The 13,051-nt window shown below is 46.6% G+C and overlaps 2 pseudogenes across 3 annotated transcripts in view; both read right to left on the reverse strand.

Annotated features, from left to right (window-relative positions):
• The window catches only part of LOC100233156 (tektin 4 pseudogene), a 58,668-nt pseudogene that overhangs the window by 4,228 nt on the left and 41,389 nt on the right, over positions 1-13,051 (reverse strand). The window lies entirely within an intron of this gene.
• On the reverse strand, positions 3,828-12,032 carry LOC389834 (ankyrin repeat domain 57 pseudogene; annotated as a pseudogene). The gene has a single exon (NR_027420.1). The product of NR_027420.1 is annotated as an ankyrin repeat domain 57 pseudogene (transcript).

The following is a 13,051-nucleotide window of genomic DNA, read 5'->3' on the forward strand; positions in this document are numbered from 1 at the left end:
GGACTGAGTTACTCTCTCACCCTATGGGGTTGCCCCATAGACAAGCTGGGCTGGATTGGAAAGTTACAGGTGACAAGGAGAAGGGGACCTGTGGGTGCAGATCTTCGTGTCCCCGGCTCTGTATAGGATGAATGGGAGCAGTGGCTCCCAGCCTATCCCGCCCTACCTGTCCACACCCGCAGTGCTGGCCCAGACCTGGGTTTCCACCTCGGGAGCAACTGTCCCAATCAGGGAGGGTCTCTGGGGAGCCCAGGGTCAGGATGACTGTGCCAGGACTCAAAGGTATTGGAGGAGGAGAGGAGAAACAGCTGCTTGGAAGTCAGGGGCCTTCTGGGGCAAAACTGCCTCCTGTCACTAAGGGGCCAGATTTCGGGACTCAGGTGTCTCACGCATAGAGGGCTGGTCTCCCGTGTGCTTGCAGCAGCCACGTGGCTTGTCCACATGAACTGCCGGGGGCTCCTCCTCTCTGTGCCCACAAGTCCTGGCCACCCAAGGCTGCTGGCACCTTCAGCAGCTCCGTCTCCACATGGTCATGCACAAGGTTGGCGTGCTGGTGGCACTGGCTGCACTGCAGGTTGTCAGTGGCAATGGAGAAGGGCACCTCCATGGCATCCAGGGCGCACTCCAGCCGTTGCTTCTGGGCCAGCAGCAGGTCGGTCTCCGCAGCCAGCACCTTCACCTCGCGCTGCAGCTCCGACTTCCAGCTGTGCGTGTCCTGCAGTCGCTCGCCCACCCTGCACGTGGAGTCTTGCTGTGTCGACTGTGCCAGCGCCTGGGTCTCTGCGGCCAGCTGCTGGCTCTCGTGCCCCTGCAGCTCCCGCTCTGACTGGTTGCAGTCGGCGAAGGCCTGGTGGTAGCGAGCATAGCAGTTCTGGAACCACACCTCCAGCTGGCGGTGGCCAGGCCGGAGGACGTGTAGACGCCCGTGTTGCGGGCCATGTCATACTCTTTGCAGGGCAGCTCGCAGGGCGACACTGTCTGCGGTGCCGGCTCTGGTAGGAGCACATCCGTCTGCACCATGGTGTCTGCCGCCCACCAGGGCCAGGGGAGTGAGGAGTGTGTGTGGTCAGCTTGTTGCGGTCAGCCCAGTGCAGTCATCGGTCGGCTCCAAAGGCTCAGTCCCAGAGCAGGACGTGGCTCCCAGTCGCTTGGGTGACACAGTAAACCAAGAGCTTCCTGTTGCCAAGAAACGGGATCTCTTCTCCAGTGGCTAGGGGAGGGGGCATTCAGGGCGGCGGGCAGAATTGCCCTTTTAAAGGGCCAGGCAGCCCCAGCCCCACCATCCCTGTCCCCACCTCGGGGCAATCAACAGTGGCCAAGGGTTCCTGTCACTTAGAGGATCCCAGGGCCAGCCCGTCTCCAGCCTCTGTGTCCCACCCTTAGGGTTCAGGGTGTGGGTGGGGACCTACTGCCCTGGCCCCTTCGTTGATTCATCCATTTGTTCCTGGTTTGCTCTCTGATCCTGTCCTGTGTGGAGCTCCACGCTCAGGGTGAACAAGACAGAGGAGGCTCTGCCCACCTGCCCCCTCAGGGCAGAGGGCTGTGGCTGTTGTGTGGATGTTGGGTGTGCTGAGTGATAGTGTTACTTGATGCCGTACAGGTGGCTGCTCTCCCTGCCCTCCTGGCCCCAACAGCAGCCTGGTAGCACAGGGAGGGTCCCAGGCCAGGCCCCCTCAGGGGCAGTCTGGGGCAGTTCCTGCAGGGACTCCGCTCCATTTTCTCCTGGACCTAGTGCCTGAGAGCCAGGCCCTGGCCTCTGGCCTTCTCCTCCCAAGTCCCAGCCAGTGTCCCCTCAGGCTGGGCACAGCGGGGAGGGAGGGAGTCTGAGTGTGCTTTTCCCTGGGGAGTTGAATTCAGCCTCTGGATAAGTGTCCAGAGTCATATGCCCAAATCTGCCCCACAGGGCAGAGGCAGGTCTTGTGCTGCGGAGGCTGCCCTGAAAGCCACCCAGGGCCATGCTGCCTGGCGGAGGCTGGATGGGCAGTAAGCACCCCAGGACACATCGGCGTCCCCCAAACCTGGGGCCAGGGGAGCCCCAGCCTAGGCGCGATTCCCCACGCAGCCAGCGAAGGGCGGCTTTGGCCTGGCGGTGAGAAGCCTGCGGCTCCTGGCTCGGCCTCCCCTCCGCCTGCCTGGCGCATGCACTCCTGGGGACCCCAGCCCCTCCGGCCTCCTCTTCCCTGAGAATCCCGCACCAGAAAGTCCTCGCTAGGAAGTCCATGCCGTTCCTACAGCACAGGCCCCTGGGCCCCTGCTCCTTCCACCTTCACCTCCTCTCCCACCACAGCCCGCACCCTCACTCCAGCCACAGGAGCCGGGGCTCCTCCTGGGCCATTCCCACCACGCTGCCCAGGTCTCTCCAGCACAACCATGTGCCGGCCAGTGCCCTCCTCCTGGACCTGACCTTCCCCGGTCCTGACCTCTCCCGTGGCCAGAACCCTCAGTCCATGCTGCTGTCACCACGGTGCGCCTGGCCTGACACAGCCTCCTGATGGGGCTTTGAGGACAGCAGCCGGGAGACTTACCCCAACCCAGGCCGAGCCAGAACCTATTGCAGGTGGCCTGGGAACCTCTTCTCACTGTCCGTCAAGATTGGGAGGCCAGCGGACCTTCAGGGACTGGTGTGGTCTGAGAAACATCCTTGAGCCTCGCCATGACTCAGTTTCCCCAGATGGCAGCAGGCTGGAGCCCATGCAGGGCAGGATGCCAGGCTCCACCTTTTGTCTGGAACCTGCATTCACTGGGCACCTCTCTGTAGGCATAGCAGAGCAGAGTTCCCTGTTTCTGTCCCTGATCTGCAGCCCCAGGAGCCCGAGAGACCACCTAAGCCAAGGAGAAGGCCTCTGGGCCAGAGCCCAGCTCTGCGAAGTGGGAGACCTCTCAGCCTCCACTTCCAAGTGCCCTGAAGTCGTTGGCAGGGGGTGCTGCCTACTTGGGGCTCCCAGACTAAGGGAACACATTCACCTGGTGACCACAATAGGCCCTGCAGGCTGAGGCACAGGATTTAATCAAGGACGCATCAGAGTTAGGGGACTGGGCCCTGACTCCTGCCAGCTGCAAACTCCCAAAGCCCCCAGCCCTCTCATGGGGTGAAGACACCCTGAAGGACACTCCAGTGTGCTCCCACCTCTGGGTTCTGCCAGCCAGAGAGTGGGACTCTCAGGCCACATGTGTCTTGCTGGATCTCAGCTTCAGGGACCCAGGGTGCTGGCAGCTCTCTGAGACCTGGGTCAGGGGGTGTCCATTAGAGCACCTTGGTCAGGACCCAGAGATAGGGAGGGCAGGGCTAAGAGCACCCCAGGCAGTTGGCATCTCCAGAAAGCAGGAGGTAGGGCATGGCTCTGTGACAGATGTCTCATGACAGGGGGGATTGGAGGGACAGAGGGACGTGCTCAGGGGCTGAGGGGCAGACGAGGCTACCAAAGGGCACCTTGGACACTGGATGGCCGCAGGAAGGCCCCTGAACCCCATCCTGATTGATCCAGGGCCAGTGACCTTGGCCCAGACTGCAGGCCTGGGGACTCAGGTTCCTTTAGTTTCTTAAGAAACTACTATACTACTTTTTGGCATAGCTGTACGATTTTACATTCCCACCAGTCATGTGTGAAAGCTCCAGTTTTTACTCATGCTCCCCAGAGTTTGATGTTTTATTTTTATTTTAGCTATTCTGATATATATGTGTTAGTCATTGTGGTCTTAATTTGCAAATTTCTAATGACTAATGATATTTAACATCTTTTCCTGTTCATAATTAAATACCATCTGTATTCCTTTTCACATATCATTAGCACAAATGTGAAATATCAGAACAAAATTTTTCACACAACTTCAAAATTTTTAGAGCAATACTCAAGGGAAAAGGTGTTTATTTAGAACAATGAAAACAATGAGACATTAACTTCCAGCTTAAATAAAGTTGATTGTGTGCATAAAAATGGTGAAAATATTGGACTTTCTTGGCAAAAGAAGAAAGGGGAAGACTTTATATTTTCTGACGTAATATTCATCATTTGTCTTTGGTTTGTGTATTATGTGTATGATTTTGAAAAAATGCATCAAAGATATAACTTTCTGGTGTTTGCTTTGATATTATCCTTGCAAACAGAAAAGTTGGCACATGTTTCTGTATAAAACTGGTCAAAGTTGGCCTAGGAATGATCTTACATTGTACTTTCACTTTACATCATACTGTAAGAGTTTAATAATAGCTAAGGCATCAGCATTGATGTGGACTTATTATACCTATTCAAGAGGTGGTGTGAGGTTTAGGAGAGTTATGTGCCCTTTATCATAAAACAAATCTATGAAGCATTTATATAAAAACCCAGTATTTCTGGTTTCAAATTCAGTACTGTGCCGTCTGCTTGATAGATTTGTTCGCAGGTTAGAGACATTTTATTGCATAACTTCCATGAAATATCACAGTTGTACTCTTGACTATGTTTGAATCACAAAAGACTTTAATCTGCACTCAGTTCTTGTAACTAAAATCTTCAGTTTTAATATGAATTTCACTTAAAGAACATCCCTAGAAATTTCAGAGAGAAAAAGACTTTACTTGCAGAATACAATCTGCATTTGCTTTGACAACTAGTTAGTTCACATATGTAAAACAAGTCTACCTGTCTGTATGCATAATTAAGATGTAACAGTAGTGTGGTAATGACTTGTTAAAGCAATTAGAATGGCAGTGGATCATGGCACAATTTACCTTAAAAGCCATGAGCAGAATACATCACAAGCTATGATACAATGAATAGTCGTTAGGTTTAAAGTAGTATCCACATATAAAAACACAAAGCATATTTTAGCTCTTTAAATGAAAGCTTCATTCAGTCAATATTGGTCTTCCTGTAGATGAATTTATGAAACAAAACCACAAAACATACAGCTTACCCGCTTCTCAAAACTCATTGCACAATAGGTTGAGGGACTTCTCTACACCAGGACCTATTATTAAAACCAGTAAGTCCTCAGTGAAAATCATTTATTTGCCCGGAGTGTCATCTGATGTGTCTGTTGTAGGCAGCTGTGGCAGTGGTGGGTGGTTTAGTGACACGGACCCTGCCCACGTCTGTCCGTCCATCAGTGGGCTAGTGTCTCTCTGGCTGCACCTGAGAAGGGTCTATAGGAGTTAACAGCATTAGCATGGGATTCAAAAGAAATCATCTTGGATTCAAACTTCCATTTCAGTATTCATTTCCAGCTAAGTTTGTGTAGCATGCTTAATGTTTCTGAAGCTCAATTTTAGTAATGGTAAAGTATATCTGCCTAAAAGACAGGGACACATCCCAGTTTTGTGTTTTTTTATTTTTATTTTATTGTATTTTTCTTGAGACGGAGTTTTGCTCTTGCTGCCCAGGCTGGAGTGCAATGGTGCAATCTCGGCTCACCACAACCTCCGCCTCCTGGGTTCAAGGGACTCTTCTGCTTCAGCATTCTGAGTAAATGGAATTACAGGTGCCCGCCACCACGCCCAGCTAATTTTTTGTATTTTTAATAGAGACGGGTTTCACCATGTTGGCCAGGCTGGTCTTGAACCTCTGACCTCAGATGATCCACCCACCTCATATGATAATCCCGCCAAGTGCTGGGATTACAGGTGTGAGCCACCATGTCCGGCCTTATCCTCAAAAAAGAATTTATCAAAATTGTGTGTGTGTGTGTGTGTGTGTGTGTGTGTGTATGTTTTAAGTAGAGTAATACTATATTAAAATGCCACTATATATGTTCTAACAAAAAACCTCAATTTAACAAATGTATGTGGGGAGAGGGAGAGAAGGAGAGAGAGAGAGAAGGAGGGAGGCAGAGAGAGAGAGAAGAGAGAGATATGTATCTCTGGTGACTCTTCCTTTTTGGATGATGACCCCAGTCCTAACAGATTACGGCCTTACCCTTTTGCCCCTATTTAACCTTTAACTTCTTAAAAGCTCCTTCTCCAAATACAGTCACACTGGGAGATAGGGCTTCAGGTTAGGAATTCTGGGGGGACATAATTCTCTCCAGAACAGACACTAATATCATGAGTGCTCAGATTGCTAGTGAATATGTTCTTGTTACAATTATTTTCACTTTGCAGTTTTAAATAATGAATACTTGGATAAAAAATACCCACTGTATTCTAATTTTTTCAACACTTCTTACTTGCATGGATTCTAAACAGAAGTCCAATGTAATTCTTATGTCTGTTTCTCTGTAGACAATGTGTTTCTTCCTCTGCCTTATTTTAATATTTTATCTTTGTTACAGGTTTTCTACGGTTTGAATATGATATTCCTAGGTATGTTTTTAAAATATTCATTCTGCTTGGTGTTCTCTGAGCTTTTTGGATTTGTAATTTGGTGTCTGTCATTAATTTGTGTTTTTTTCCTAGTTAAAATAATGAACTTTATAGATTTTACATTCTCAACTTTCACTTATTTTCAAAATGAGAGACAAGACACCTAAACTCCAAGATTTCAGTCCTGAATGCAATAGTACCAGATTTTCAAGTTACATAAGTGAACTGCATAAACATCACTAGTTTCAAGTGTACCCTATAAGAAACACATGGACATACTTGCGTTGTTTAAACACACGGTGTCATATCAATAAACATCAAAGTATCTGACATATATTTGTCCATTAAAAGTAAACACAACTCTGAGTATCAAATTAAATTAATCATTTGCCTTTTATAATCTAAATCAGAAATTGAAAAACAGGAACATTGTAGAGGTAAGTGGCTGAAAATGCTCTGCTTACTGCACACAAGCACATCATGACAAAGAATGCTAGAAGTAGCTTTCCTCAGAAGAAATAATTGAACATTTAAAATATTATTTTCTCAGAAAAGTTAAAGCTTTTAGTGTAAAAGGCATGGTAAATGACATTTTAACTTAATAGTTAACTATATAGCAAATTATAGATTTCAAGCAATTAGTTACCCACATTTCACCAGAACCTTCAGTGAAAGTGTCTACTCTCAACATTGACCAGAACCTTCCTGTTCTGAAGTGTCTACTCTTTAGAGTTGCTTCAGCTTTACATATCTGTAAAACCTAAGATTACTCAATGAGAAGTTACACCTTATTCTGTACTAGATACTCGTAATATATATAGATTTAGAACAAATGGATGTTTTTCAACTTCAAAAAAAGTATTTTAATTTACACAATGTTAGATTGTTTTTCACCCATGTGTATACATAACAGTGTTTCCCAAATTCACAGGGTCCATTTCCATAATTCTAAAGCAAAAATAGAGGCACACAAATGGATAATAATTCATAGTTTTATGCCTTTTTTTAACCTATCTTTAAAGAAATTCAGTTGCCATGTAGACAAAGATGTGATGAACCTGTAACACATTTCTATGACTTGGAAAATTAAAGGTCTAAAAATCCTAAATGTAGTAGCTCTGGGCAGTTTGCAATTTGTGCATGGGTTCACTCACCCTATGGTCCGTGAACTCCCTTATCCTGCAAGCTGTAGGTACTTTCAGCAAATATGAGACTCAATAAGACTAAGGAAGGGCTTGTTTAAATTAGTTCCCCTCACAGTTGATTCTAATCTTGCAATGAACAGATTTAATGTACTAGTGAGTTAAATTTTAAAGTAATTATAAAGCCATTTACTCTATCATAAATGAATGAAATGTAAGAATCACACTTAAAACAAGTCTTTCATTTTAATGAATGGTATCTTTCATTTATATACAAGGAATTCACTTGCCAGCAGCATTTAAATATAGGAATAGTCTCGTCTTTTCTCTAGTGCCTTTTATAAAGCAGTGCCATTTCTAACTAGGTGTATTTGTTTCCCAGCTATTCAGTAACTACACTATAGGTATCTAATAGATTCAAGAAAAGATTGGAAAATTGAGAAGATTTAGCATTTTAAACATTTGAAAAATGTTGCTACAAAGCATAGATTATGAATGCATTAGTAAAATAAATTGACACCTTATGTGAGAATCATTAAGTTGGTTTAATTATATCACAGAAGTATGGGCTCACTAATATTTATACCAATTTATGCTAATTAAACCAGAAAGTTTCTGTAGGTAATTCAGCTCTGCGCACCATTTAATAGGGTTATGCCAAACAGAACCAATGGTTATATAATACCCAGAATATAAACCTCAGCAAATTCATACTTTTGGAATGGCAACACAAGTGAGAATGAGAGGCAATATTTCATTTCAAAGTACCATAGGCTGCTAAGAGTGTTCTTTTCTTTTAAAAATTTGTGTGGTTGTTAGTAATGTACCTTAACACTGGTCCTCCTTGACAGCGGTGTTAGAGATGGTTAGGTAGAACCTATATTACGGAAGTCAGCCTTGCCCATTTCTTTAGTTCAGTGATTAAAATTGAAATTACTTTTTCAAAACAATTGAACTGCTGCTTACAATATAAATAGAATACCAACAGGATTCCTGTTGTATTCACATTATTCTCTAATTAGTATTTTTACATTTCCACTCTGACCTGACCTTCAGTAGTTCCTTTATTTTTATTTTCAAGCATTTTTGTGAGTATATAATAAGCATATATATTTATGGGGTGCATGAGATGTTTTGATACAGGCATGCAGCATGAACTAATCACATCATGGAGAGTGGGTATCCATCCCTTTAAGCATGTTTCCTTTGTGTTACAATCCAATTAGATTCTTTTAGTTATTTTTAAATGTACAATTATTGACTAGAGTCCCCCTGTTGTGCTATCAAATAGTATGTCTTATTCATTCCTTCTGCCTATTTTTGTACCCATTACCCGTGCCCTGTCTCCCCCCCCAGCCCCCTAGTACTTACTATGTCCATGAGTTCAATTGTTTTGATTTTTAGATCCCACAAATAAGTGAGAACATGCAATGTCTGCCTTTCCGTGCTTGGCTTATTTCCCTTAACATAATGATATCCAGTTCCTTCCATGTTGTTGCAAATGACTGAATCTCATTCTTTTTTAGGGCTGAATAATACTCCACTGTGTGTATCTACCACATTTTCTTTAATACATTAATCTGTTGATGGACACTTAGGTTGCTTCCAAATCTTAGCTATTGTCAACAGTGGTGCAACCAACATGGGAGTGCAGATAATTTCTTCGATATACTCATTTCTTATTTCTGGGGTATATATCCAACAGTGGGATTGCTGGATCATGTGGCACCTCTATTTTCAGTGTTTAGAGGAACCTCCAAACTGTTCTCCACCATGGCTGTACAAGTAGTACCTTAAAATGCAAATGCAATTGGTAAAAGAACAAGGCAGCGTGTAGTGCTTGCACTTACAAATACTGCCAGTTTTGTAACAATTTGCATTTTTTTTGTCTTTGAAAGAGTAACCACTTACTTAATAAAACGGATATTTAAAAGCGCAATATTCCTTCCTTTGCATGGCATGCAGGAATGGTGAAAGCAAAGAAACAGTCATCCCTTCTCTTCCCCCCACTTCTGGTCTCCCGAAATAGGAATGCCAGGTCAGACAGGTGGAGGAGGGAAATGGGGCACAGGTCAAGGTATGATGAATCTCTTAAAAAGAAATCCGGCCAGGCGCAGTGGCTCACGCCTGTAATCCCAGCACTTTGGGAGGCAGAGGCGGGCGGATCACGAATTCAGGAATCGAGACCATCCTGGAGAACACGGTGAAACACCGTCTCAACTAAAAATACAAAAAAATTAGCCGTGTGTGGTGGCGGACGCCTGTAGTCCCAGCTACTGGGAGGCTGGGGCTGGAGAATGGCATAAACCCGAGGGGCTGAGCTTGCAGTGAGCGGAGATGGCGCCACTGCATTCCAGCCTGGGCGACAGAGTGAGACACCTTCCCCCCACCGCCAAAAAAAAAAAATACAGCTTTCCCCAGAATGCTAGCCTGATAGGAACTCCACCCCATCCATTCCAACCTAGTAAGGATAGTTTAGTTTGTCTTTTCTGGTCTCACTTCATTACATCTAGTGTTCTTTTTTTGTTTCTGTTATTAAATTTCAGAAGACAAACCTTAGCATTTTCTAAAAGAAATTATTTTTTACCTAAATACATTGGACTTTGGTCTTAATTTGAAGGAATAGGATAAGTGGACTTTAAGAGAGCGTTCCTACTCCTTCTCTTCCAGTGGCTGCTCTGGGTCCTTGAAAGAGGGTGTGATATGAACCATCTGGGTTGTGAAGTGGATTTTGTTGAGCCTGTGTTTTTTAAGTCCATTAGTCCTGCCCGAGGCTGTGCGCCTTGGAATCCTTGGCTTCACGTCTGGACCACCTTCAGCCAAGTGGTGATGGTGGAGAGGGTCCCCCCATCTTCCAGGACGTGTGAGAGTTTGTAGGTGGTGAGATGGAGGGGGCAGCTTTTAAATCTTCCAGTACTCACCCCCGCTGCTGGCGGTGCTCTCCCCATCGTCCTTGTCCAGGACTCCCATCAGGGTCTCAATCTCTTCTGTGATGCTCTGACTCACATGCTGGGAGGCCCTTTTCCCAGTGTAGTCCCTGATGTCAACATCGGCGTCCTATGTTCCCACTAGCAGCTTCACCATCTCCAAGGTACATGGCTGCCAAGTGCAGGGCGGTGTAGCTCTGGCCTTGCTGTTCCCAGGCAGCAGAGGCTCGTTGGGGAAGTTGACCAGCATGGCCAGAAGCTCCAGCCTGCAGTGCTAGGTGCCTGCGCAGGCAGGTGAGGGTGTGATGAAGCCCAGAGTGGCCAGCAGGCTGGCTGGCACGGGGGCAACCCCCTAAGCTGTCCACTCCCCATCGGAGGCCGAGAGCAGCCAGCTGTGCTCCCTGGTCCAGCTCACCCAGCCCCACAGCTCTCCTCTGCGGACGGGAAAGCCAGCGCTGCGCCGCCAGAGTCACTCGCCTCTGCGGTGTCCTCAGAGGAGGAGCTCCCAGGCTGCTGCCTCCAGGACACAGGTTCCTCTTCAAGGGCAGGACACTGTGCCTTCCCAAGTCGCTCAAGTTCTGGCGGAACGGCCTCGAGGTGGTAGCCCCCCAGGAGCCGCCCCTGTCCGCCTCCTGGCAACCGTGGGGTGGGGGCTCCAGGTCCTTGCTGGTCTGAGGTCCCGCATCTGGGGTAGGGGCTGGTGGAGCCAGCGAGCTCTTCCTGCGTCCCCGCTGCTCAGGGCGGCCCGTGCAGGGGCTGGGCTCCCCCTTGCCCAGCTCGGCCCTGCCTGTGGAGCACCTCGGGGACCGCTGTTTCAGGGAGGGGATGGTGAATGCTGCGCTCCGCATTCACGTGGACGCGGGACAGGTCCCAGGGGCGCGGCCTCAGGCGGAGGCCCCGCCAGAACCTCTTCCTGAGACGCAGGTACTGGGCGCCATCGACGGGGTCCGTGCAGTGGCCACAGCGTTCACCCGGAGATACATTTAAACAGTTTTATTCTCCTGTTTTTTATTTTTTCATTCCAGAAACCATTACTACTATGCAACAAAGTAAAAATATCTAGTTTAAATAATAATTTGATACGGTCAGGTGGGGATGAGTGCACACGTGTGTGTACACACACACGCAGGCTCTAAATGGGATATTTTGGCGGAGCAGAGGGATAAGGCTTTTATTTCGTTGGTGTGTTGAGTTAGAATCGCCCTTCTCACAATTAAATAATTTAAATCAGGAGTTGTATTAAAGCTAATTTGTACAACTAGGCAACATCTTTTCTCCATATATTTATACACATATACACATCTCTAATATTTGCATTTATTACTTCATCTAAAAGAGCTTGGAAAAAGGGTCCTAGGTCTTGGCTAGTTAAGGTAAAGATCTATATTTTAAGGTAATAAAAACGTTTGCTATGGACAGAGACATGCAGACACTGTGGGTGAAGCTGATTCATGTTCCATTGAAGGAAATGACATGGGGTTTTCTAAGGGAAAGCCCAGCATGCCGCAAGGAGAGGGGAGGTCCCAGGAGGGAATTGGAGTCAGCATTAGGATCTAAGTGTCACAGGGGAGTGTGTTCCCAAAAAAGACTGTGACTGTTTCTTTGTCCATCCTGAACTGGTTACCATGAGTGTGTGTGTGTGTGTGTGTGTGTGTGTGTGTGTGTGTGTGTTTGTGTGTGTGTGTGTGAATTAAAAGAGGAGTTACATGCTGGGGCATTTCTGGTATCTCAACTGGCATCTCAGCTGCTGGTGATGATGGCTATACATTTTCCTCAGTATTCAATGTGCGTATTTTGAGTTAACAGTCCACCCATTGGCTGAGGCAGGTGGATCATCTGAGGTGAAGAGTTTGAGACCAGCCTGGCCAATATGTGAAACTCTGTCTCTACTAAAAATACAAAAATTAGCCAGGCATGGTTGCAGCACCTGTAATCCCAGCTACTCGGGAGGCCAAGACAGGAGAATTGCTTGAATCCAGGAGACAGAATTTGCAGTGAGCTGAGATGGACCACTGCACTCCAGCTTGGGCAGCAGAGTGAGACTTGGTCTCAAAAAAAAAAAGTTATTGTGACATGCTGTACACATTCACAAATTCAGTGTCTCCCAGAAGCCTGAGATTCTTTCTTTCTTTCTTTCTTTCTTTTTTGAGAAGGAATTTCACTCTTGTTGCCCAGGCTGGAGTGCAATGGTGTGATCTCGGCTAACTACAACCCTTCCTGGGTTCAAGTGATTCTTCTGCCTCAGCCTAAGTAGCTCCTGCCTCCCAAGTAGCTGGGATTACAGGCATGTGCCACCATGTGCAGCTAATTTTTTATTTTTAGTAGAGTTGGGGTTTCTCCACGTTGATCAGGCTGGTCTTGAACTCCTGACCTCAGGTGATCCACCCGCCTTGGCCTCTCGAAGTGCTGGGATTACAGCCATGAGCCACCATGCCCAGCCAGAAAGTTTTAAGGCTATGATTATTAGACAATCATACACACAAAAAGTACTGAAAAAGTCTCAGGAATGCAGTACCTCATTGGCCTGGTATGACAAAGATAAAAAGAAGTTGGTCATGAAAATTTCTGAATGTGGTTTAGGACAAGGAGCCCCAGTAAGATTCAGAGACAACCTAGAAAATTGAAAGACAATTTTACTACCCAAATCACCCTTCTATAAAAAATAATAGAAGATGTCAAATATGAAAATAAAACTGTCCTCT

The sequence above is a fragment of the Homo sapiens genome, unplaced genomic scaffold, assembly GCF_000001405.40.
Source record: "Homo sapiens unplaced genomic scaffold, GRCh38.p14 Primary Assembly HSCHRUN_RANDOM_CTG9".
NCBI lineage: Eukaryota > Metazoa > Chordata > Mammalia > Primates > Hominidae > Homo > Homo sapiens.